The following is a 25756-nucleotide window of genomic DNA, read 5'->3' on the forward strand; positions in this document are numbered from 1 at the left end:
GCTATTGAGAGTTTAAACTTGATTGATAGGCAGCAAAAACTTTCAAATCAATTGTTCTTATTAAACATTTTGCTTTTGTTTTGTTTTGTTTTTGAGACGGAGTGTCACTCTCCTCCAGGCTGGAGTGCAGTGGTGCAATCTCAGCTCACTGCAACCTCCACCTCCCAGGTTCAAGCAATTCTCCTGCCTCAGCCTCCGGAATAGCTGGGATTACAGGCGCCTGCTACCACGCCTGGCTAATTTTTGTATTTTTAGTAGAGATGGGGTTTCACCATGTTGGCCAGGATGGTCATGAACTCCTGATCTCAAGTGATCTGCCTGCCTTGGCATCTCAACGTGCTGGGATTACAGGCATGAACCACTGCACCAGCCCTTATAAAACATTTTTTAAAAGTTTATGCTGATCTGGCTCTATTGGATTGACTAGATAACTCATATTTACTGCCTGATTGACTTGGACATTATTTTTAGAGCCATATTTGGCTATCTCCACAATTATTATGATCATTCTAATAAAAGATTTAAAATAACTGCAATAATCAGGATGTTTGGATTTTGTGTATTTAATTCTAAGGCAGTTTAATAAGTATGCATTCAGGATAAAAGTTTCTCTCAATTGTTTTACATTTTTCCTATTGTTAAAAAGGCTTTTGAAATAATGGTTTTATCTCAGAATCAAAAGGCATTATACTAACTGAACATCTACCAGGCATGTGGAAAGCATAAATATATACATATATAATCTCTTTATTTAAAAACAAATTATTTTTAAGATTTGTTAATACTTTCACAAGCCAGAAAGTTTTTTTTGTTTTTCTTTCTTTTTTTTTTTTTTACTGCAACCTCTGCCTGCAGAGTTCAAGTGATTCTCCTGCCTCAGACTCCTGAGTAGCTGGGACTACAGGCGTGTGCCACCACACCTGGCTAATTTTTGTATTTTTTAATTAGAGACAGGGTTTCACCATATTGGTCAGGCTGGTCTTGAACTCCTGACCTCAGGTGATCCGCTGGCCTCTTCCTCCCAAAGTGCTGGGATTACAGGCGTGAGCCACCGTGCCCAGCCTCTTAAGGTAAAAAGTTTAAAACACTAAAAAGAGAATTAACTGAAAAGATTTCTTCTTGCCCTGTCTTCTGGTTGCCTGGTCCACAGGCAATTATTGTTACCAGCTCTTTTTTATATTCTTCCAGTGATATTACATGTACATACAAATACATATTTATATGTATATATTTTTTCCTTGAATTTTTTTTAGTTAATGCAGTACTGGAATATCATATAAACAGTTCTGTATCTTGCCTTTATTTTTTTACTTATTCTTTCAATGAATTTTTTTTTTAAATGGTTGCTTTGTGGTATAGTTGAAACGAAATATATCTTAAAGATTGCTCTACAGTAGTACAGTTTCTTCATTCTTTTATTTTATTTCCCCGTGTTTGAGTAAATTGGTCTTTAGTGGGATTGCTGGGTCAAATATACAATGGTAAAGTCTCACAATAGAGTATGACATCTCATTCCGTCTTTATAACAACATTACGAGGTGAGAGTTGTCATTATTTTCTTTTTAAATATGGGAAAACGGAAGCTTACAGAAGTTAAATAACTTTCTAAGAGTCATGAGGCTAAGAAGCTGCTGCAGAGACAATCAATCATTTCATCAGACTTCATGCTTTAAACCACTATTCTGATTATGGTTTCTCCATGTAATAATCCATGTATACATCCCTTTGGTTTAACTCTCTTGTCTGATAACAGGCTCTATGCTTGCCTTGGCTTAAGTTATTTCCTGGCACAGGACAGTTCTGGAGAAAGCAGATGAACCAGGCCTCTCAAGCAAAAACCAGTAGCAGAAAACCACTTATGCGATGAGAATGAGCTCTTTTATTTTGACTCACAGAAACCACCACCAATTTGGGAAATGAATTTTACTTTTTTTTCCTTTTTTAAACTTTTTTTTTTTATATAGAGATGGGGTCTCCTTGCCCAGCCAGGAAATGAATTTTAGAATATAATGCAGTTATAACTAATTCACATAATATTTAGGCCTGGCAAGGTGGCTCACGCCTGTAATCCCAGCACTTTGGGAGGCCAAGGTGGGAGGATCACTTCAGGTCAGGAGTTTGAGACCAGCCTGGCCAACATGGTGGAAACCTGTCTCTACTAAAAATACAAAAATTAGCTGGGTGTCGTAGCACGCGCCTGTAGTCCCAGCTACTTGGGAGCCTGAGGCAGGAGAATCGCTTGAACCTGGGAGGCAGAAGTTGGCAGTGAGCTGATATCACGCCATTGTACTCCAGCCTGGGCGACAGAGCAAGACTCTGTCTCAAAAGAAACAAAAACAACTAATTCACATAAGTTTTAGAATAAACTTTATAACCAAACCCATATGTCAAAATAACATATTTGACAAAGAAGAAGCAACAACAAAAAATGGAGATTCAAACCATGGCAGTGTGTAAAATAAACAATCTTACAACCCCCACCAAATGTATGATATACAGTACATTTGCTTTTTCCCCATGACACTTCCACTCTGTCACCCTTCATTAAGCAACATTATATTTTACTTAGGCACACAAAGCAGACAACTCTTTTTTTTTTTTTTTTTTGAGATGAGTCGTGCTCTGTTGCCCAGGCTGGAGTGCTGGAGTGCAGGTGGCGTGATCTCAGCTCACTGCAACCTCTGCCTCTTAAGTTCGGGTTCAAGTGATTCTCCTGCCTCAGCCTCCAAGTAGCTGGAATTACAGGCGTTCACCACCGCGCCCAGCTAATTTTTTTTGTATTTTTAGTAGAGACGGGGTTTTGCCATGTTGGCAAATAATATTTACCTGTTAGATGTTATATATTTGCCTGACCTCAAGTGATCTGCCTGCCTAGGCCTCCCAAGGTGCTGGGATGACAGGCATGAGTCACGGTGCCCCACCCTGGTTTAATTTCTTATCTGACCCAGTTGACTATGAGCTCCTTGAGAGCATGGGCCACACTGAATGAACAAATGAAAGAACGAACAGAAGCAACTTTTTTCCCAAGAATATCTTTTATTCTCTTTCTTTCTCTAAATACGTGTATACAAATACACACACACACACACACACACACACACATATATTCCAGAGGATACTACACATTTTATAAATAAAATTTATGAAATAATATTTTTGGAAGTTTTCTATTAGCTTAGACTTTTTATTCTCTATTTCTAGAGAGAGACCCCAGATAATAATATATAATAATGCAGATTATTATGTGTACAATTAGTTATGAATTCATGTTTTGGAGGTGAGTATTCATTTGCTGCTTGTTCTTTTGCTTTCTTCATCTATATATGGAAGGAGATGCCAATAGATAAGATAAATATATGGGAGCAAAACTTAAAATTAAGAACTATTGTTCACTAAATCATATTTTTCTGCAAATGAGTGAAAAGATTGCTGGCAAAATATATTTTCTAAGTCTTAAAATGATGAACTGGTTTTTGGAATTTGGTTATCACGCATTTGAATTGTGAGCCAGGGTCCTTTCCTGATAATCACTATCTCTAAACTCCATAATACCAAGTTCAACCTCCACCCTAAGTTCTCAACTAATGCTGCATTTGTCTATTCATACTGTTGGAGGATAACAATGGACAAGCAAGGTGAAATTGAAATCAGGGCCTGGATCAGTCAACAAATATTCATTGAATATCTACTACATGCCAATTTTAGAGCCTGGTTTAGAGCCAACATTAGAATGGCTTGATTCTTGCCGTAGCTATCTTTCTAAGCCACAGACTTTAAAAACAAATGCTTTGAATTATACAGCATCTCGACTGTTCTTTAAAGGAAGTCCATGCACATGAAAGGATGAATGTGACACCTTGAGTTTAAAATGCAAGTTAGGACGGGCACTGTGGCTCATTCCTGTAATCCCAGTGTTTTGGGAGGCTGAGGCAGATGGATCACCTGAGGTCAGGAGTTCTTTGAGACCAACATGGCCAACATGGTGAAACCCATTCCCTATTAAAAATACAAAAATTAGCTGGGAATGATGGTGGGCACCTGTAATCCCTGCTACTCAGGAGGCTGAGGCAGGAGAATTGCTTGAACCCAGAAGGCGGAGGTTGCAGTGAGTCGAAATTGTGCCACTGCACTCCAGCCTGGGTGACAGAGCAAGACTCCATCTCAAAAAAAATAAATAAATAAAATATAAATAAATAAATAAATAAATGCAAGTAATTAATATTAAATAGATATATATGCACATGTGTATTATATTTTTGTAAAAATAAAACATAGATTTACACTTCCCAGTCAGAAAGGTGGTGAAATTAAAGAAACAAAAAAAAAGCTTTACATATTGTGTTTATGTGTACGTTCATTGAAAAAGGCATGGAAAGATAGATATTAAACTGTGAGCAGTGGTTACCTTATGGCCAAGGGCAGAGAGATGGAATTTTCATTTTTTCTTTGTGTACTTGTATTTGAATTCTTTAAAATAAGCATGCATTACTTTTGTGGTTATAAAACATGTAAATAATAATGTTGCAGGGAGCAGTGGCTCACTCCTGTAATCCCAACACTTTGGGAGGCCAAAGTGGGAGGATTGCTTCAGCCCAGGAGTTCAAGACCAGCCTGGAAAACATGCCGAAACCCCATCTTCTATCAGAAATACAAAAAACTAGCCGGGTGTAGTGGTGCAGGCCTGTGGTCCCAGCTACTCAGGAGGCTGAGGTAGGAGGATCCCTTGAGCTCTGGAGGCAGAGGTTGCGGTGACCTGAGGTCGCACCACTGCACTCTCCAGCCTGGGTGACAGAGTGAGACCCTGTCTCCAAAAATAAAAAAAGTTTATATAAGTAAACTACATATTTCTAGCAAGAATAAATAAATGTATATGCATATATAACAGGTAAATATTATTGCTGCATATTATCTACATACACTGGGTTTACATATAAAAGGGGGAAATTCTACCTGCTGACAGTGCTCGATAACTATTTGATTTTAAAGGGATTGGCTTTCAATTTTCATTTCCTTTTTTTTTTTTTTGAGACGCAGTCTGGCTCTGTCGCCCAGGCTGGAGGGCAGTAGCATGATCTCAGCTCAGTGCAACCTCTGGGGCCCAAGTGATCCTCCCACCTCAGCCTCCCACAGTGCTGGGATTACAAGCGTGAGCCACAGCGCCCAGTCTATAAATTTTAAAGGAGTAGCTGGGATTACAGGCATACACCACCACACCCAGCTAATTTTTTGTATTTATGGTAGAAGACGGGGTTTTGCCATGTTGGCCAGGCTGGTCTTGAACTCCTGAGCTCAAGCAATCTGCCCTCCTGGGCCTCCCAAAGTGCTGGGATTACAGGCATGAGCCATGGCACCTGGCCTATGTCCTTTCTACTTTTGTGTTTAGTGTCCACATTTCTGTCTTTCTAATGATATAAAAAATTTACATGAGAAGAGTTATTGATTAGATACAACAGAGGTTTCTAAAATTTAAATTAAATTAAAAATTTAATTAATTTATTTTTTGATAATTATTACCACTCCCAGGCTGAGAGATTTTTTTAAAGGAGGAATTAACTCCTCTTGTAAATACTCTGTGAACCAAGGGAAGGGTATAGCTATTTTCCTCAAAAACAATGGAAATGCTTCATATTCTGCAGAAACACAATAATTAGTGGATTTGATTATTGAAAATAGTCCTGGGATACCACTGGTTCCTGGACAAATGTAGTACTTTTTCACATTACTACATGAGGTTATGATTGAGGTATACATTTCATGAAGGTATGGCCAAGGGGCTATCTTGTTCACCACTGCACCTAGCATAGAGATAGGAAATAACCGGGGCTTAATGTTGGTGGAAAGTAAATTCGTTGCATATTCTGATGAAAGAACTGGTAGTGAAAATCCATGAGAGAAGTTTTGTGCACTTATTTGTATTTAAAATTCCAGTTATCTAGTTTGTGCCCTGTCCTGAGTATTTAAAGAAAAAATGTGCTTGTTACAGTACAGCACATGATTTGAATAAGATTGCTAGTCTCTTGAGTTTTCCATGTCATTTGTGGGGACATAAGTTTGTTGATTTATGTGCTAAGATATATTAATTGTTTACTCTGTATATAGTCTGTGAGGGATACAATAAAAGCCAAATCAGAGCTTTGGAGCCTTTTTTTTTTTTTTTTTAGAAGTTCACTTTGCTGTTAAAAGAAAGTTAAAAACTGTAAAAGGCAGACATTTCTATAATGAAATTCACCTTTAAAATGAAAAGAAAATGAACAGAGGACTATTTCACCCTGGTCATTTCCCTCCAGAAAATAAAACCTTTGGACGTTATTAGTTGAAACTTTCTAGTATATCTAAATAGCACCACTAACAATAGTGTGAAATTATTGAGATTATAAATACTTATTTAACAATACTTCTTAGCTTCAAATGAGGGAAGACCAGTTTTCCTCCCCAGGTTTTACTTTTCATTCATGTGTGATATCATGCTAAGAAAAAAATGGAAAATACATGTCAAAACTTAACCTTTGCAGCACACTTTATGCAGTTCATTATGTTTCAATTAGACAACAATAAAGATGCTAAAAAACTCAAAGAAACAAAAAGAAGAAATGAAAATGTTACTTTATATGGGACAAGTAAAGAGTAGTTTGTTTGTTTGTTTGTTTTTTGAGAGAGAGTTTCACTCTGTCGCCCAGGCTGGAGTGCGGTGTTGCGATCTCGGCTCACTGCAACCTCTGCCTCCCGAGTTCAAGTGATCCTGCCTTAGCCTCCCAAGTAGCTGGAATTACAGGCGGCCGCCACCATGCCCGGCTAAGTTTATTTTTTAAGAGCAATTTCTTCTGGGGAGCAACAAATTATCTCTCAAATGCCTAGTAGCCTACGGAAGGCAATGGAAAAGCAATTTTAGGTAATTGACACTTTTTTTTTTTTGAGACAGACTCTCGCTGTCACCAGCCTGGAGTACAGTGGCGTGATCTCGGCTCACTGCAACCTCCACCTCCCGGGTTCAAGCGGTTCTCCTGCCTCTGCCTCCCGAGTAGCTGGGACTACTATAGGCGCACGCCACCACGCCCAGCTAATTTTTGTATTTTTAGTAGAGACGGGGTTTCACCATGTTGGCCAGGGTGGTCTCGATCTCTTGATCTCGTGATCCGCCCGCCTCGGCCTCCCAAAGTGCTGGGATTACAGGCGTGAGCCACCGCGCCCAGCCCGTAATTGACACATTTTAAAAGCTTATATTTAGGTCAATATCGCTACTCAATGAAAAAATTACGTTTGGTTTGTGTTATGTCGCAGCTCCACGGTGAACTATTTGAAAGCTTTGTGTGTTTTACGAGCATCATTTCCAACCTGGGAAGACAGCCCCACAAGTTTAAAACAAAAGTGCATGCGCGTGTGTGTTTTCCTACGTGCCCCAAATAGTGTATGCTAAGGAGGTTCTGAAATGCAGATTCACAGTGGAGATATTACGGTCCAGCTGGGTGTGGCTGTTGTGAAAAACTCTTCCTAGAGCTCATAGTGGGCTCCTTAAAGAGCTCCTCCAAACCCCCAAGGAAAAAGCCTTTCACACTTAATCTCTAAATAAAAGGCATTTTCCTGGGGATTCAAGTCAGGCAAGCTCGCCTAGGTATTTTTGTGGGTGTGGGAAGCGGCGTGCTGGAAGAAACTCTCCAGCAGTGCTTTCCGAAGTTCCGGGTAAATTGGGCACCTCCCTCCCACTTCCCAGTTCCCAGAGGGGCAGCTGGACCCGCCCTGGCTCTCCAGAGCACCTGAGACGCTAAGGGAGAGGGGGTGCGGCGGCAGAAAGCCTCCGCTCCCTCCAACCCCCGCTCCCTCCAACCCCCACCGTCGGTAGCAGCTACGGGGCAGGCGGGAGGAAAGATGATTGACAGGCCCGCTCAGTGGCTGGGAAGCTAGAGGGAGGGACGAAGAGGGGACGGCTGAGTCTTCTTCTCAAAGTGGTTGGGTTGGGCCGCGGGAACTGCCTTCCCAGGCCTATTGGCTTCCCTGAATGGGTTGTTATGGTAACAAATGACCGAACAGTCCCTTATGAATCGGCCAATGAGAAGGGCCGTCTTTTCCAGTGCGCCTCCGAGCAGTAGATGTTGCGAAAGTCCGGGTAGAGGCCGGAGAAGAAGGCGGTGCCAGGGCGTCCTGCGGAAGGGCCGGGGGCGGGGCTCGTGACGTTGCCGGGACAGCCAATCACGCCTGGTTTTATCAGTGGCCCCGCCCTTTTACCGCACATTTCCCCTCCCCTAGTTCATTTCGCACGACGCAGCGGTTGGGAACACAGACATTTTCGGAGCTGGAGCCGCCACTGCCGCCGCCATTTTGTGTCTGTGGAGAAAGAAGCTTCTGTGGCGGCTGGAAGTGGACGGAGATCACCCGCGAGACGGCGGCGTTTCATACCCGAGGTTCCCCCTGTGTCGTCCCCCATCCCCCCTCCGCGGTCAGCATGTGGTGAAGCCGGAGCCGCGAGAGAGCCGGGGAGAGGAAGAGGAGTCGGAAGGGAGGCGGGGTATCCAGAGCGGCTTCAGCTTCAGCTGCAGCGGACCTCGGAGGGGGGCCGCGGCGCAATGTCAGAGCAGACGCCGGCCGAGGCCGGTGCTGCGGGGGCCCGGGAGGACGCCTGTCGGGATTATCAGTCATCGCTCGAAGACCTGACCTTCAATAGCAAGCCGCACATCAATATGCTGACCATTCTAGCCGAGGAGAACCTGCCCTTCGCCAAGGAGATCGTCTCTCTCATCGAGGCCCAAACCGCCAAGGTTTTTATACACCCCGCAGCCTCCTATTACTTCTAATACTCCCTGATTTTAGTGTCAGCCTCATCCCAGGTCTCGCTTCCATCCCAAGGGGGACAGTGTTCCTTCTCTCCAACCCCCCCACCCCCCTCCAACTCAGGCTCGGTCTTTGGCCCAGGCTTCGAGCATGGGCCTCTGGGGGGGAGGGAGTGGGGAGGATAAAGGGTGGAGTCCCACTTCCGCTTTCCAACTCCCTTTTTAGGCCACCGCATTGTATATCCCGACACACACACGCTTTGAATAGAGCCCTTTGGGGTGGGGGAGACTTAAAGGCAGTTTGTGGTTTGGGGAAGTAAGAGTTAACATAAGCCATTTTAATTCCCTGGGAAGTGGGAGAGTGGGTCTCCCATTTTCCCCAAGCACCCTTTTTGGTAATTGTGTTCTGTGGGTTGGAAGGAGGTGAAGGGGGACCTGGGAGCGAGCTGTTGGTGGGTGGGAATAGGGATTTGGCCCCGAGTGGAGCAGCCGCCTGTTAGGAGCCCAACATGGCGCCTGAAAAGCACATGATGCGAAAGGGAAGAGAGGAGAATCCATTCCCTGCCAGCCAGGCAGCTGCTCACTCCCGTCAGCCCCATTTTGGGGTGGGGGCGGCTAGATAAAACTTTTATTCTCCTATTGGAGGGTCTAATTTGTCCCAAAATAGGGGCAAGTGGGGTTGAGGGTGGGGTTTGGGTGGGGGGAGGAGATCTTATCCAACCTGTAGGTGGAGAACTGGCCCAGAGGGTAACAAGTACTTGCAGTTTCTCTGAAAAGTTCAGTCCCTCCTCCTCTTCCTTTTCTCTTTTTCTCCCTTCCCTGATAGCGAAGGAGTGTTTTTCTTTACCCCTTGACAGAAGTGGTCCTCTGCCACCTTATATTTCCCTGTAGTCCTCCTCTTCTGTGGATTCATATGGGAGCGATATGTCATTTAAGTAAAGTTACTGTTCAACTTAGTTACAATGAGTTTTAATAGCGTCCCAGTGCTACATTTTATTTTTCAAGCTTGTACTCACGGTTTAGTTTTTTCTAGTTGTTAGTGATTGCAATTATCAGGATGAGCCTCCTTTTAGCAGAGTGAACCCCTTTTTAAAGGCCACTTTAACAACAACCACCAATATATTGTTTAGAGACGGTTTCTGTCTAGTGTAAAACTTGAGTGGTCTGACTCTAATAAATGGTTTTGAAATGTGTGACTGGTATTATAAAATTTGTGAATAAAACATATAAAATATGTATTTGTCTTTTTTATTTACCTTTGTAAGGTGTAGAATCTGTTTCCAAGACTTATTTTTATCTACGTGGTTGTGTGTTTTAAACAAAAGTCTTTAAGTGACTTGGGTTCATTCTTCTTTAGGTTCCATCCACTCTTTTGGGTAAACCTCTTCACAAGATACACGGTTTCAGGTGGTCCTTTCATAATTTAAAGAGGACGAAAAGGAAGGGTTTTTTTTCTTTTTCCTTTTAAGGACCTCAACAAGTTTATCATGCTCAGTCTGACAGCTAAGATACAAGTTTTCGTTCACTTTTTCCTGTGAAAGTGTATGTAAAACAGCTTTTTTTTTTAAGTGTGAGATTTAAAAAGGAAGCATTCGTCATACTCAACATGCTTTTTATTGATACCACAAACATCTTGGACATGAAAACTTAGTTTTTGCCTTGTTGAAGGCTTAACTTGACATTAAATGCCTTAAAGCACTTGTGTTTTTAAGGCAAAAACATTGATTTTTAAAATCTAATTACCTCGTATCTTGGGATTTAATATTCCACAGCGCCTAATATTTAGCAGCTCAGGTTGTCACTCAAAGAACCTTGCTGGTTTTTAATGGATCCGGAAGACCTTCGAGAACCGAAAACTAAATGCTGAATATAGTGACCACATAAAACTTGTGTTTGTATATCGCTACACAGTGATGAAAATAGATGAGCTCTTTGCTGGTAAAAGACAGCTGAAATTTTGGGGGCACACGTTTCCTGGTTATTTTTGTAAAGCCAGGTTGAGGAAAAGATGTAAAAGTCACTTTGGGGGATCTATCTTAATCTGGGTTGGGATCGAGGGTGAGGGGAGGGATTTCCGTTATTTGGTAGCAAACTGGCCTGGTTTTGTGTTTTGGAGGTGAATGTTTGTGTCCTTATTCTTTAGCTTCTCTGCGTTACTAAACTTAAAGGATTCACACTTAATTTGACTCCTCCCAAGAGAGAGCAGTAGCGAAAAATAATACATAAAAGGACTTCACTTGTACAATAAAAAATTAGCCTACTTAACAGACTTTGGTGTTTAAGAGAGCCTGTTTATCTTCATAAGTACAATAATGACTAAAATGGTGTAAAACATGACATGGTAAGGTAAAGACACAGCAGTAAACCATTTGACATGTTCGTACTTAATATAGTTGACCCACATGCAGTGGGTGAACCCTTTTATTAGACAGTACCTTAAAAGAAATTTTTCATACAAAGTTATTCAAAGCTTCCCTTAGCCAACTTTTGGTTGTAAAGGTGTTATCAGAAGCAAGAGCATTTCCACACACTTGTATGGGCAATTGGTTTTATTATATATGATGGCATTGTGTACTCCAGAACTGTGAGCCTACCCTAGCTTCAGGCAGCTATGGGTAAGTGTTACTTAGGGTTAAGATTCCTATACACGTGGGGTGGGTAAATGGGGATAACCTAAGTTTTTTTTTTTTTTTTTTTTTTGTCTTTTTTTTTTATTTTAAATCATGGGTGCTCCTTTGGAGTCAGAGTTAAAACTATTATGGTGTGTCTTAATGCTCCTCAACAAGTCTGTGAACCTGCTGATGCTTTCTGGAAGCTTGCTGTGCCTTCTAAAAGCCAGTGGTGGGTAGGCATTGCAGTTGAACTGGGGCAACATTTCTTTACTTTGGAAAGGGCCACCTGTATCAGCATCACCACACTGGCTCTGCACAAATTTATAACCCCTGGTTTGTGCATGTCAGAGGAAAATATCTCGGCGGAGAGTCCAGGCTGTGAAGAAAATCTTCAGGACAAATCCTGGTTTCCAGAGTCAAGTTCAACCTGATTTACATGATTCAGCGGCTGCTCCATCCAGTTTTTCTTGTCTGAGTAACAAACTTGCAACTTCCTGCATGTTCGTGTGCAAGTTTCAGTGTTTTGCCATTGACTTCCTAGGTGAAGTGTTTTTAATTTTTGTTCATTTGGATTATAGAGAAGTAATCCTAATGATTTTACAGGTAACAAAAGCTTCATAGACTTGAACATATAAAATATGCCCATGGAAATTAGTTTCTACAAGAGGTCTAAAAACTGCTTTGAGTGTAGGCACACCGTTGTAAGTTAATATGGGTCACAAAACTGACACTTGGATTATATAAAGTAATTTTCCCTCGCCTCCTCCTTATTTTTGTCACTTAAAACACAGGTCTTTTTACCACATGAACTTGAAATTTCATTGAGTGTTAAATGAGTATATTAGGGATTACAGCTGTTGTTCATCCTGGTAATTCTGAGCTTTTTTGTGCTCAACTAAGGATTGTGAGAGTTGAGAGCTTGATTGAACACTTAAGTTTCATAAAGATTACTTCAAAAATATTTAGTATCAACAAAAATAGAGGTCTGTATTGTAGGTTTAAAAACTCATTTTTAAATAATTATTTGGTGGTAATTCATTATACTAAACTTCTCAGTTTCTTTTTATTCAGGCTCCTTCCTCAGAGAAGCTTCCTGTTATGTACCTTATGGATTCTATTGTGAAAAACGTTGGAAGAGAGTATCTCACTGCCTTTACTAAAAATCTAGTTGCAACATTTATTTGTGTGTTTGAAAAGGTACATATGCATTTAGAAACATTTGCGTTTTTTTTTAAAAAATGTGTTCCTGATTAAATAAATATTTGCTTTGTGTTGGGTTTTCTTGGGTGGTGAAATGTTTTATACTTTTGGACATTTATCGTTAGTACCATTTCAAAGAAAGAGGCTGAAGTTAATGTTTTATGTTAGATTTTTAGAACAGATTCTAGGGGTTTACATTATCCATTTAAGAATAGATGGATTTGCTTTTAGAATTGTGCTTTTTAAAAAAATTGAGTGTGTTCATTTGAACATCTGTTTCATCACTTACAAACCAGGCAAAAAGATCTGAAATCGTCAAGAGTAATTAAAATTTCATTGTTTACATTTCTGGTGTTAGGATGTTGACTGTTCTCTTGGGGGGGTAAAAAGCATAATCCCTCAGTGTCTCAACCTGTGATTGGTTCCTGAAACTTGTGTGTTTTTTTGTTTTGTTTTCTGGAAATGTTTACTTTTGTTACATTGTTCAAGGTATGTTTTAGGTGAATGTTGTTGGTATGTGTGAATGGTGGACCAGTTAATTGCTGTTGGTTATTCTGGAAATACTTTTGCCCCTACCTTAGTGTTCAGAAATTAGGCTTATTTTTCATATCTAGAGATTGTAAATTTCTTCCATAACACTGTAACATGGTGGTTTGGTTAAAGCAGTATTATGTTGAGGAGGACAAGGGATTTGCTGAGGTAATTCTCTGCCTGTCAGGCTATATCTTTCACATTGAACAAAAAGGCACTTATGAGATACTTAGGTTTAAAGATTGTTTCCTAACGTCAATATTTGGTGGTAGTTATTATATTTTAGTAGATGAACACCTGTGTGTCAGTTGTCAGATTTGTAGAATTGGAATTTTTTTTGGAAGAACTATTCAGTATTAGATTTTACATGTTTATTAGAAAATAAGTAGTTGCTATTTGAGAAATGTTTTTAAGTTCTTAGAGAAAAACAGTATATGCAGAAGAAATCTGGAAAGCTCTATATCATATAGCATTAAAATGCTTGTTAATAGAATATTGTAGACATTTGCTGAATACTGCTAACCAGAGGCTGTAGTCTTAAGGAGAAGCTTAACCAACCTCTTGGTTTCGGTTTCAGTATGTTCAAATTCACTTGGGTGTTTGGTAGCATACCTTTACTGAATCTAACTGGGCATTAACATGACAGTTGATTAAAATGACCTTGTAATAAATACATTATTATCTGAAGACTTATGAATATAGTTAAGGCTTTACTGTCTATCCTAATGTTGAAAATCTAACTCAGTTTTCCCAAGTCCTAGGTTTCTTGATGGCGAATTTTCTTTCTTTTTCTTTTTTTTGTTTTGAGATGGAGTTTTGCTCTTGTTGCCCAAGCTGGAGTGCAATGGCACAATCTCGGCTCACTGCAACCTCCGCCTCCCGGATTCAAGTGATTCTCCTGCCTCAGCCTCCCGAGTAGCTGGGATTACAGGCATGAGCCATCATGCCTGGCTAATTTTGTATTTTTAGTAAAGACGGGGTTTCACCATTGTTGGTCAGGCTGGTCTTGAACTCCCTCAGGTGATCCACCTGCCTCGGCCTCTCAAAGTGTTGGAATTACAGGCGTGAGCCACCGTGCCTGGCAATGGCAAATTTTCTAAACATTTTTACGCCATCACAAACCTGAACAGAAAAGTTATTTAAAACTAAGGCTTATCAGTGGTTAAGATTTTGTGAATTTCAGTTGTTAAAGTGCTTTCCACACCACAATATCTTGTTCCTATGTACCCAACCATATAGTATTGCTGAGCATTAGTTAGTGAGATAGTTTTGCTTTAATTTTAACTTTGTACTACTATGTAAATAATTTAAAACATTTAAGCCATCAGGTAATCAATTTTTCTAGTTGTTTTATATTTTTTAGTTTTATATTTTCTAGTTGTCTTACATTTTTTTTTCCCAGAGAAAGAGTAACTTTAGGAATATTATACTAAGCTCTAAGATGTGGAAACGTTTTGTATATAGAAAGGCTCACCTGGTTGGTTGCTTGCATGAAGGCTAGGTGAAAATGGTTTTAATTACTCTGTTTTTGAAGGAGAAATGCACCTTTAATAAATTATTACTGTTGTATATACTTACCAATGGGTAGTACAGTTCTGTATGTGAAGTAGAGCAGATTTATATAACTTATATTTAATATATAAAATATTCTATAGTAACTTAACAAGCCATAGAATTGTTCTGTTGTTCTAGGTGGATGAAAATACTAGGAAAAGTTTATTTAAGTTACGTTCTACATGGGATGAAATATTCCCTTTGAAGAAACTTTATGCCCTGGATGTCAGAGTCAATTCATTAGATCCTGCTTGGCCTATTAAACCTCTACCCCCCAATGTGAATACGTCTAGCATCCATGTGAATCCTAAATTTTTAAATAAATCGGTAAGTTTTAATATGAATAGTAAGTAACATACTTTTAAGTATCACATTTTGAATTCTTCTGCAGAACTTACTGCCAGAAAGTCAAAATAGAATACTCGGTAGTGAATTGGTTCAATTTGAAAAAAAAAAAAATAGTGTGTATATGTTTGGAATTTTTATTTAGAAATATATTCACCTTGTTTAGGTATTATGTAACATTTATTTTGGGTTTTAAATTTCTGATAAGTTTTCTGTGTGATAGGAATTTGGATCATATTAAGAGTTAAGCTGATAATTTTTACTCCCTAGCTTCCGTTTTAGCTGATACGTTTTTCTTAAACAAATTGTCTTTTCTTATAGCCCGAGGAGCCTTCAACACCTGGTACAGTGGTCAGTTCCCCTAGCATCTCCACTCCTCCAATTGTTCCTGATATACAAAAGAATCTTACACAAGAACAACTAATAAGGCAGCAGTTACTGGCAAAGCAAAAACAGTTGTTAGAACTTCAGCAGAAAAAGCTGGAGCTTGAGCTAGAGCAAGCTAAGGCACAGTTGGTAAGTAAGGGAGATTGTCATTTTAAATATTTTAAACCTGTCTAACAATAGGGAAGTAATGTTTATGTTTGAATTTTATTAACATGTTACTTTTATTAATAGTGTACTCTTTTTTCACTTTTATTTTACAAATGAGTATATTTATTAGACTATACTTTTATATCTTTATTGTAAAATTCACTTGATTAAAAACTGCATAGGCCAGGCGCAGTGGATCATGCCTGTAATCCCAACACTTGGGAAGTCTGAGGTGGGAGGATCGCTTGAGTTTAGGAGTTTGAGGCCAGCCTGGGCAACATAGTGAGGCCCTACCAAAAAAAAAAAAATTAGCCAGGTGGGGTAGTGCATCCTTGTGATCCCAGCTACTCGAGAGGCTGAGTTGGAAGGATCACTTGCGGCTGCAGTGTGCTATGATTGCTTCACTGCACTCTAGCTTGAGTGACAGATCAAGACCCTGTCTCAAGAAAACCCTCCAAAAACTACAAAACTACACTATTTCCTCCAAACAGTTTTCTGTTAGATTGCTATCTTATAAAATAGCATCTTAATTTTGTTTAATCATTACATTATGTGGACTTAATATTTCAGTCCCAAGATGGTAGGCATGTTGTGGCAAATATTTTTGCATAGTCTTTAATGTTTTATGAGCTTATGCTCCATGAACAGAAATGACAAAATTAAGGAGGCCAGGAAGATTATATCTTTCTACACATAAATGACTTTATACTAAGTTATTTTGCTTAGCATCTGAGCTTATTCGACAGTGAGGTGCAGGAAGGCAGAATTTTATAAGTTCATTAATAGCACCACTTTGGGAGAAACTAAATTTTAGGACTTAGAATTTAGCTGAAATGACTCTGATTCTTGTGCAGCCGGAGTGTAGTGATTTAGCAATTTCTTAGGAGCAGTATGGCTCAGAATCCTGAACAATAAGGAAGAGAAACAATTTTTTTTCATTCTATTTAGAGATTATATTATAAAGTCTCAAAAAATACTAGTAAGAAATAATGGGCAACTTAAATCATGGACTTTTTCTTTTCATTGTAATCTCAATTTATACATTATAAGTGTACAATTTAAATGTAGTGTTGAGTAAATATATTTATTGAATAAAGCATTATCTTCTTCAGTTGTTTGCAATTTCTTGACAATCTGCATGTTCTGCAGTGTTAACATGAACATTTATTTTGTGTTTTAGGCAGTTTCTCTTAGTGTTCAGCAGGAAACATCCAATTTAGGTCCTGGATCTGCACCATCCAAATTACATGTTTCACAGATTCCCCCTATGGCAGTTAAAGCTCCTCATCAGGTTCCTGTGCAATCTGAGAAAAGCCGTCCAGGACCATCCTTACAAATTCAGGATTTAAAAGGAACTAACCGGGATCCTCGTCTGAACAGGATAAGCCAACATTCTCATGGAAAAGATCAGAGTCACAGGAAAGAATTTCTAATGAACACATTAAACCAGTCTGATACTAAGACAAGTAAAACTATACCCTCTGAAAAACTAAATTCATCCAAGCAAGAAAAAAGTAAATCAGGTGAAAAAATAACCAAGAAAGAACTTGACCAATTAGATTCTAAATCGAAATCGAAATCGAAATCACCCTCACCTTTGAAAAACAAATTATCTCACACAAAAGACTTGAAAAATCAAGAATCGGAAAGTATGAGGTTGTCTGATATGAACAAGAGAGATCCAAGATTAAAAAAACATCTTCAGGATAAGACCGATGGCAAAGATGATGATGTGAAAGAGAAGAGAAAAACTGCAGAAAAAAAGGATAAAGATGAGCACATGAAGTCATCCGAACACAGACTGGCTGGAAGTAGAAATAAAATCATAAATGGCATTGTACAAAAACAGGATACAATAACAGAAGAGTCAGAAAAACAGGGGACAAAACCAGGGAGATCGAGTACTAGAAAGCGATCAAGATCTCGATCACCCAAGTCTAGGTCACCAATTATACATTCCCCAAAGAGAAGAGATAGGCGGTCACCCAAACGAAGGCAAAGAAGTATGTCTCCAACATCGACACCTAAAGCTGGAAAGATTCGCCAATCTGGAGCTAAGCAGTCACATATGGAAGAGTTTACACCACCTTCTAGGGAAGACAGAAATGCTAAGAGAAGTACTAAACAGGATATTCGGGATCCAAGGCGAATGAAAAAGACTGAAGAGGAGCGACCACAAGAAACTACAAATCAGCATTCTACAAAGTCAGGCACTGAACCAAAGGAGAATGTAGAAAACTGGCAAAGTTCCAAGTCTGCCAAAAGATGGAAATCTGGTTGGGAAGAAAATAAAAGGTATGATGTTAACATTTTAAGTCAAGTGTAGTAGTGTATATGTTTCAAAAGATAGTGTTAATTTAAAAATTGGAAAATGTTTATTAGGTGCTATTAGTACTTTTTTTCCATCTAATTCTTACATCTCTGTGGGTTAAATACTATTATTATTTCTATTTTACAGATAAGGAAACTGAAGTTTAGAAAGGTTAACTAATCTACCTAAGGCTGCAGTCCAGGACATGCAAGAATCAGAATTCATATCTGTTTTTGCTGATTTCATATTTTGTGCTCTTAATCATTTATTTAATTACTTTTTGTGGTTACATATGCCCATTTTAACCATATCCTTTGAAAAGAATCTTTAAATATGGTCCTGAGTATTTTTTAAAAAAACATTTCAATGTAACATACTGCTTTTATGGTTTCAGCTTACAACAGGTTGATGAACATAGTAAACCTCCTCATCTGAGGCATAGGGAGAGCTGGTCAAGCACTAAAGGAATTTTATCACCTCGAGCCCCAAAGCAGCAACAGCATCGATTAAGTGTAGATGCCAATCTTCAGATTCCTAAAGAGTTAACTCTTGCAAGCAAAAGAGAATTACTTCAAAAGGTAGTTACTATGATTAATCCCATGTAGTCATCATTATCTATCGTCTATTTTTTTGGTATTTTTTTATATTTAAAATATTTTATTTCCTTTTATCACCCCTATACAGACGAGTGAACGTTTAGCATCTGGTGAAATTACACAGGATGACTTCCTTGTTGTTGTGCATCAAATTCGACAGCTATTTCAGTATCAAGAAGGTAAACATAGATGCAATGTACGGGATAGTCCTACAGAAGAAAATAAAGGTGGATTAAAAAAGAAACCTCTCTTATCTGATGCTGAATTAACCTACTATGAACATAAAGCAAAACTGAAAAGGACACAGGTTCAGCATTCATTTCCAAGACTTGATCTCTTAGATCCTGATATTTTTGACTACCCTTTGACTGATGCCTTGTTGTCTGGAATAGAATGTGAGCCATCCAAAAGTAAACATGCAAGTAGGAATAGTGGAGCACAGTTTGACAGAAAAGAACAATTTAGTGAAAGAGCAAGACGTCTTTCTCCTATATCTGGGAGTCGTACTTATGCTGAGAATCTTTCACCCCATGAGGGCCGGAGAAGACATGACGAGCAAGTCTCTGCTAAAGGTAGAAAAAGTTAAATCAGATTATGCCTATTGAATCACACAGCAGTGAAGGGAAAATGAACAAGCTAAGTGGGGATGGATTTTTGTGACTGTTCAGATTACCATTTTTTTTCCCATTTATTTTGTTATGTTTTTTCCCTTTAAGGAAAGGGAAGGGAAGGGAGCTAATATTTCTAAGGCCAGTTGTGTGTCAGGTACTTCATTAGGTATTTTTTATATGTAATTTGATTTAATCCTCACAACAATACAATGAAGTGTATATTCTCCCTATTTTACAGATAGGAAATAAAAGAGAGGTTAAATAACTTGCTCTCAAAATGAAATAATTAGTATGTTGATAGGATGGTAATTTTTTTGTTACTCAGGTGTGTCTGACTCTAGAGGGCATCCTCTTATCTGCTGCTTTACGCTGTCGGTCTCTCCTGCCCCTCTAATGTAGTGAGATAGTTATATATTTGGATAAACATTCATACGAAAATAGAAGATTTTAAGATAACTTTAGTGAAAATAATTTTTTTCCTTTTTAAAAGGTGTGCGAGAAGAGCAGAGATCTCCATTCAATGATCGTTTTCCACTTAAGCGACCTCGATATGAAGATTCAGATAAACCATTTGTAGATAGTCCAGCATCAAGATTCGCCGGCCTGGATACAAATCAGCGACTTACAGCTTTAGCTGAAGACAGACCGTTATTTGATGGACCTAGTAGGCCATCAGTAGCAAGAGATGGCCCAACGAAGATGATTTTTGAAGGACCCAATAAATTAAGCCCTCGAATTGATGGACCTCCCACACCAGCTTCTCTTCGGTTTGATGGGTCACCAGGACAAATGGGGGGAGGAGGCCCTTTGAGATTTGAGGGGCCACAAGGTCAGCTAGGAGGTGGGTGTCCTTTGAGATTTGAAGGTCCTCCAGGACCAGTGGGGACACCTCTGCGGTTTGAGGGCCCAATTGGTCAAGCAGGAGGAGGTGGTTTTCGGTTTGAAGGTTCCCCTGGTCTGAGGTTTGAGGGATCTCCAGGTGGTTTGAGATTTGAGGGACCAGGAGGCCAGCCTGTGGGTGGTCTGAGGTTTGAGGGACATCGTGGTCAACCTGTGGGTGGTCTAAGGTTTGAGGGACCTCATGGTCAGCCTGTGGGTGGACTTAGATTTGATAATCCCCGAGGTCAGCCTGTAGGTGGACTTAGATTTGAGGGGGGTCATGGTCCATCAGGGGCTGCGATTAGGTTTGATGGACCTCATGGTCAGCCAGGAGGTGGAATCAGATTTGAGGGCCCTTTGCTACAGCAAGGGGTTGGAATGAGGTTTGAGGGCCCCCATGGTCAGTCAGTAGCTGGTCTGAGATTTGAGGGACAACATAATCAACTTGGTGGGAACCTTAGGTTTGAGGGTCCACATGGTCAGCCAGGGGTTGGTATCAGGTTTGAAGGCCCTTTAGTCCAACAAGGAGGTGGAATGAGGTTTGAGGGTCCTTCTGTACCAGGAGGTGGCCTGAGAATTGAAGGGCCTCTGGGTCAAGGTGGTCCAAGATTTGAAGGTTGTCATGCTTTAAGGTTTGATGGGCAGCCAGGTCAGCCGTCACTCTTGCCAAGATTTGATGGATTACATGGTCAGCCAGGTCCTAGATTTGAAAGGACTCCTGGTCAGCCAGGCCCTCAGAGGTTTGATGGACCACCTGGACAGCAGGTTCAACCCAGATTTGACGGTGTACCTCAAAGATTTGATGGTCCACAACATCAGCAAGCATCAAGGTTTGATATTCCTCTTGGTCTTCAAGGCACAAGATTTGACAATCATCCTTCACAAAGGCTTGAATCAGTATCTTTCAATCAGACTGGTCCATATAATGATCCACCTGGCAATGCTTTTAATGCCCCATCCCAAGGACTACAGTTCCAAAGACATGAACAAATATTTGATTCACCTCAAGGACCAAATTTTAATGGACCACATGGCCCTGGAAACCAGAGTTTCTCTAATCCACTTAACAGAGCTTCTGGACACTATTTTGATGAAAAAAATCTTCAGAGTTCTCAATTTGGAAACTTTGGCAATATACCTGCTCCAATGACAGTAGGAAATATTCAGGCATCTCAACAGGTAAGTCTGTTATTCTAAAATTGCGTTGTATGCAGATAAGTTAACCATTTTTTAATGTTTCTAGGAGGGTTTTCAGGACATAGTTTATTGTGTAGATTGGAAAGAAGTTTTTAATGTACTCTAAAGCCACATGCTAAGGAAGTGGGATGAGCATCTTTTGGGGATGAAATTTGCAACTTAAATCCAAAATTGATTTTAGCTCTTTCAGGATCTAGGGAAATATCTCAATCAAACCCCCACCTCCAGCTCTGTTTTTTCTTTTTCCTTTTTTTTTGCTTTAAAGCTTTTGAGATATTATACAATTGTGTGTCATAGACCTCTACATTGCAGAACTGTTGAGCCCTGACGTGCTTTAAGGTAGCCATAGAATTGATTGAACTGTTCTTTGACCAAGAATTTCCTTAACCTGAGTTAAATAAGAAGATCAAATTGTGTCCCTGCTTTCACAGTCTACAATTCTTTTTTTTTGGTCCTTTTTTCCTACTTTTTACCACCTTTCCAGTCACTTCAGTTAAACACAATTGTTTGATATTAATGACAACATAGCGAATAGCCTTCCAAATACACTCTGGTTACGAAACATGCACTGTTACCTGTTGGTATTCTTTCACACTTGTTCTGTATACATTTTAAAATGCATACTGAGACAACTTTAAGGCAGTATGTTTACAATTTGTGATTAATTCGGTTGGTTTTGAATGACTACTTTTGCTTGCGTGCTGAAATTCTCCTAGGCTGAGTTTTACTTCTTTTCCAGGTGCAGACATTTTCTTACTATGACAGATTTATTTTATAGTAGTAAGATTGCATGGAAGAAAATACAAAATAAGAAAGATTTTAAAAGTACATTAGGAACATTATTGATAGAAAGTAGTCCTTCTGTTCATCTCTAATGGTACGAAAAAACAGTTGGCTTGCCTAGATTTACTCTACTGTATATCCTTGAAAGAAATGATACTCTTATTGACAGATACTCTAGAATGGTACTTACTTAGTCTTGTTTCTACATTACACAGAATCGGTGGGGTTTTTATTATGTGTACTCACTACCAAAAGTCCACATGTATACTGAACAAGGATTATAAATGGATATTTATTCACATACCAGCAATATGTAGAAGTCCTGCCTCCCTCTGGACTGCAAATGCTGTATTTGTATGCCAGTATAGTTCTTGCTCCATGACTATTCTGTTTTTTAACATTCCCTTTGACATCTTTTACAAGACCTTTTACAAGATTACTTTGTAATGTGGCTATAACCATGTGCAAAGATGATGGCCAAGCAAGATGCTTACCTGCTTGGTAATTCAGAATGCTAATTAGAACAGGCTTTTGATATCTGTGGAAAAGTGGCAAGGGTTAGGAGTTCTGGCCTCAGTTTTGCTCCTAACTAGCCCTTGTGATTGTGTATAGATCATATTGCATTATGTCAGTTCTTCTATTTGTAAAATAAGGGAAAGCACCAGCAAGGTAAAGTGACTTGTGTAAAGTAACACAGCTAGTTACCTTATATTTGCATGGTATCTTACAGTTTCCTTTTTGGGGGGCTACTTTGCCTCTCTAGTAGGTACCTTAAACTTTTCAAAGAAGTTTTAACCCATTCTCAGTAACTTATACCTCTATGAAACAGATAAGGGAAGGTTTTATTGTTCCTGTTTGTAGAAGACCTAGAAGTGAAGTGATGCAGCCAAGTTATCTTTCTAAATCTTTATTTATAAGCCAGGCCTTGTGACATCTATGAATATTTTTATGTAATTAGGATGTTAAAAGTTTTACTTGAAATATAGAAAGCATGTTCTTAAAATTAAGGTTTTTCTTAAAGGTTCTGAGTGGTGTTGCTCAGCCAGTAGCTTTTGGTCAAGGACAACAGTTTTTACCAGTTCATCCACAAAATCCTGGATTTGTTCAGAATCCTTCAGGTATGTACTTTCTGAACTTTGTTTTTCAAAAGACAAATGATTATTGTTTTGTTGAATAGCTAACTTTGTGAATTTTAGGAAATGACAGTTTTGCAAAGGTATATTTAATTTAGAGAAATTTAATCTGGCTGACATATTTTTGTTCCTTTTCTAAGTTTATTTACATTGTGGATGTGTATTCATAATGACCCTATTTACAGCTAGAGATGGTTAGCGGGGACTTGTAGTCCACTAAACAAAGGGAAGGAAACCTATTGGGTGGAAACTGGGAGTGGGAGGGAAGGTATGACATTTGTGTTGAGATAGAATGAAATAAATGACAGACCTTAGAAATCTCAGTGAATACTGAGGATACTGCATTAATAAAGTTGATTAATTTTTATGTTTTTGTGGGCACTCAAATAGCAAAAAGCGGCTTTCCTAGCCAGGTTCACTGATAAGCATCTTTGTTACTATGGGGTGATGCTTAGTACTAGATAAAAGGACTTTTAAAATGGATTTTAGTTTTATTTATTTATTTATTTATGAGGCAGAATCTTGCTCTCTTACCCAGTCTGGAGTGCAGTAGTGTCATATTGCCTCACTGCAGCCTCTGCCTCCGGGGTTCAAGCGATTCTCCTGTCTCAGCCTCCCAAGTAGCTGGGACTACAGGCGTGTGCCACCAGACTGGGCTAACTTTTGTATTTTTACGGGGTTTCACCATCTTGGCCAGGCTGGTCTCGAGCTCCTGACCTCAAGTGATCTGCCCACCTCAGCCTCCCAAAGTGCTGAGATGGCAGGTGTGAGCCACCATGCCCGGCAAAATGAATTTTAGTTTTAATATGTGGTAATAGGGAAGTACATACATTAGTGATACTTGCTTTCATTTCTGAATCATTGAAACAGCTGTTTCAGAAACATGCTTTACTGTAGTATTGAGTTAATCAGTTTACAATAAATTTATGGAGTTTTCCAAAACTTCTGAAGTAATTAGGAAATCCTAGCCAAGCTCTTTTTTATACATTAGTCCTTAAATTGTGTCAAGAAATTCAATGAATTTGGAAGCTTTTAAGTTTTAATTTCTACATGGACAATTATGACTAATTAATATTTGTTATTATTATTATTTTGTTACTATAATGAAAAGAGAAGGAAAGAATTTGGGATCTAAAGCCCAGAAGACCAGGGTTGGAATCTCTACTATGTTACTTTATAAATGCGCAGGCTTTAAGCAAGTATCTCCCCTGAGGTTCAGTTTTTTCCCTCTGTAAACAGCATATGGGCCGGGCATGGTGGCTCACGCCTATAATCCCAGCACTCTGGGAGGACGAGGCAGGTGGATCACAAGGTCAAGAGATGGAGACCATCCTGGCCAACATGGTGAAACCTCGTCTCTACTAAAAATACAAAAATTAGCTGGGTGTGGTGGTGCATGCCTGTAGTCCCAGCTACTCAGGAGACTGAGGCAGGAGAATCGCTTGAACCCAGGAGGTGGAGGTTGCAGTGAGCCAAGATCAGGCCACTGCACTTAGGCCTGGTGACAGAGTGAGACTCCGTCTCAGAAAAAAAACCAAAAACCAAAAAAAAAACATGATATGGTAGTATCAGTATTTGTCTGTTTTGTTGTTGTTTTTTTTTTTTTAGAGAATCAAATGATATAGTATATGCAAAAGTACTTTGTAACTTGTAACTTGTCAAGTGCTATATTAATGTATTTTCCTTTAGAACTCAGTTTTTATTGTTGAGCAGAGGATTTGTTATATTGGGGTTAGTGGCATGAGATGCTCTACAGAAACTACAAATTTTCTTGTTTCTTTCTTTCTTTCTTTTTTTTTTTTTTTTTTTTTTTTTTTTGAGACGAGTCTTGCTCTTGTCACCCAGGCTGGAGTGCAGTGGCATGATCTCAGCTCACTGCAACCTCTGCCTCCTGAATTCAAGCAGTTCTCCCGGGCTCAGCCTCCCCAGTAGCTGGGACTACAGGCACATGCCACTACACCTGGCTAATTTTTGTATTTTTAATAGAGGCAGAGTTTCACCATATTGGTCAGGGTGGCTTGAATCCTGACCTCAGGTGATCCACCTGCCTTGACCTCCCAAAGTGCTGGGACTACAGGTATGAGCCACTGTGCCCAGCCTTGTTTTGCTTTTACAACCTTGGGTTATATGTGTATGTGTACAGGACATAGCAGTGTCACAGAGGAAATCATAATTATTCCCCTTGTTAGGGGGTATTGAATGGGACATTAGGTGTGTCTTCATTCTTCAAGTTCTTCTTACTCTTAAAAGATGTGTCAACAGTTTTCAGTGTGCTATATTTAGCTTCTCTCAAGGTTCCTTCTCTAATTTGAAAGTGTAAACATCCCTTTTCTAGTAGGAAATATACCCATGTTCATTTTTCAGACATATATTAGTCATCTGCTGTATGCTAGGCAGTATGCTAGGATGAATTTAATAAGGTTCATCCTTCAAAGACCTTTATTTTTATTTTTAAAGTTTTTTTTTTTTTTTTAAAGAGGGTGCTCACTATGTAGCCCAGGCTGGTCTCAAACACCTGAACTCAAGCAATCCTCCCACCTCGGCCTCCCAAAGTGTTGGGTTTATAGGCATGAGCCACCACACTCGGCCTCAAAGAGCTTTATAATATAGAAAGGCTATTGATTTTTTTTTTTTGGTTTAACAAAAAACACATAATAATGCCAAACACCTCAGTTCCTTAGAAATATTAATTCATTTAACCTCATATC

General features: G+C 39.3%; 1 protein-coding gene across 5 annotated transcripts in view, besides 6 other annotated features; it reads left to right on the forward strand.

Moving 5' to 3' along the window:
- Positions 7826 to 7905: a silencer, noted in NCBI's record as "silent region_3819". NCBI's record gives its function as "represses an Ori minimal core promoter by ATAC-STARR-seq in GM12878 lymphoblastoid cells {active_cell/tissue: GM12878}" and the evidence as "EXISTENCE:reporter gene assay evidence [ECO:0000049][PMID:35858748]".
- Positions 8106 to 8155: an enhancer, noted in NCBI's record as "active region_5347". NCBI's record gives its function as "activates an Ori minimal core promoter by ATAC-STARR-seq in GM12878 lymphoblastoid cells {active_cell/tissue: GM12878}" and the evidence as "EXISTENCE:reporter gene assay evidence [ECO:0000049][PMID:35858748]".
- Positions 8220 to 9009: an enhancer, noted in NCBI's record as "NANOG-H3K27ac-H3K4me1 hESC enhancer chr11:82868143-82868932 (GRCh37/hg19 assembly coordinates)". NCBI's record gives its function as "activates a minimal SCP1, AML or CMV promoter by ChIP-STARR-seq in naive H9 embryonic stem cells {active_cell/tissue: H9 hESC(naive)}" and the evidence as "EXISTENCE:reporter gene assay evidence [ECO:0000049][PMID:30033119]".
- Positions 8250 to 25756, forward strand: part of PCF11 (PCF11 cleavage and polyadenylation factor subunit) — a 30321-nt gene continuing 12814 nt past the window's right edge. For 3 of the 5 annotated variants that reach the window (NM_001346414.2, NM_001346413.3, XM_047427120.1), the window contains exons 1-9: positions 8250 to 8750; positions 12446 to 12571; positions 14798 to 14986; positions 15326 to 15520; positions 16719 to 17833; positions 18244 to 18427; positions 18534 to 19017; positions 19547 to 21114; positions 22937 to 23033. In NM_001346414.2, the coding sequence (NP_001333343.1) occupies positions 8559 to 8750; positions 12446 to 12571; positions 14798 to 14986; positions 15326 to 15520; positions 16719 to 17833; positions 18244 to 18427; positions 18534 to 19017; positions 19547 to 21114; positions 22937 to 23033 (4150 nt within the window). In that variant the 5' untranslated portion in view covers positions 8250 to 8558. The remainder of the gene's footprint in view (positions 8751 to 12445; positions 12572 to 14797; positions 14987 to 15325; positions 15521 to 16718; positions 17834 to 18243; positions 18428 to 18533; positions 19018 to 19546; positions 21115 to 22936; positions 23034 to 25756) is intronic. The other 2 variants (NM_015885.4, NM_001346415.2) reach the window with 1 other exon arrangement.
- Positions 8306 to 8555: an enhancer, noted in NCBI's record as "active region_5348". NCBI's record gives its function as "activates an Ori minimal core promoter by ATAC-STARR-seq in GM12878 lymphoblastoid cells {active_cell/tissue: GM12878}" and the evidence as "EXISTENCE:reporter gene assay evidence [ECO:0000049][PMID:35858748]".
- Positions 9356 to 9415: a silencer, noted in NCBI's record as "silent region_3820". NCBI's record gives its function as "represses an Ori minimal core promoter by ATAC-STARR-seq in GM12878 lymphoblastoid cells {active_cell/tissue: GM12878}" and the evidence as "EXISTENCE:reporter gene assay evidence [ECO:0000049][PMID:35858748]".
- Positions 17555 to 18754: an enhancer, noted in NCBI's record as "MED14-independent group 3 enhancer chr11:82877478-82878677 (GRCh37/hg19 assembly coordinates)". NCBI's record gives its function as "activates an origin of replication core promoter dependent on BRD2, BRD4, P300/CBP and CDK7 cofactors, and independent of MED14, by STARR-seq in HCT116 cells {active_cell/tissue: HCT116}" and the evidence as "EXISTENCE:reporter gene assay evidence [ECO:0000049][PMID:35650434]".

Source organism: Homo sapiens, chromosome 11, assembly GCF_000001405.40.
Source record: "Homo sapiens chromosome 11, GRCh38.p14 Primary Assembly".
Classification (NCBI taxonomy): domain Eukaryota; kingdom Metazoa; phylum Chordata; class Mammalia; order Primates; family Hominidae; genus Homo; species Homo sapiens.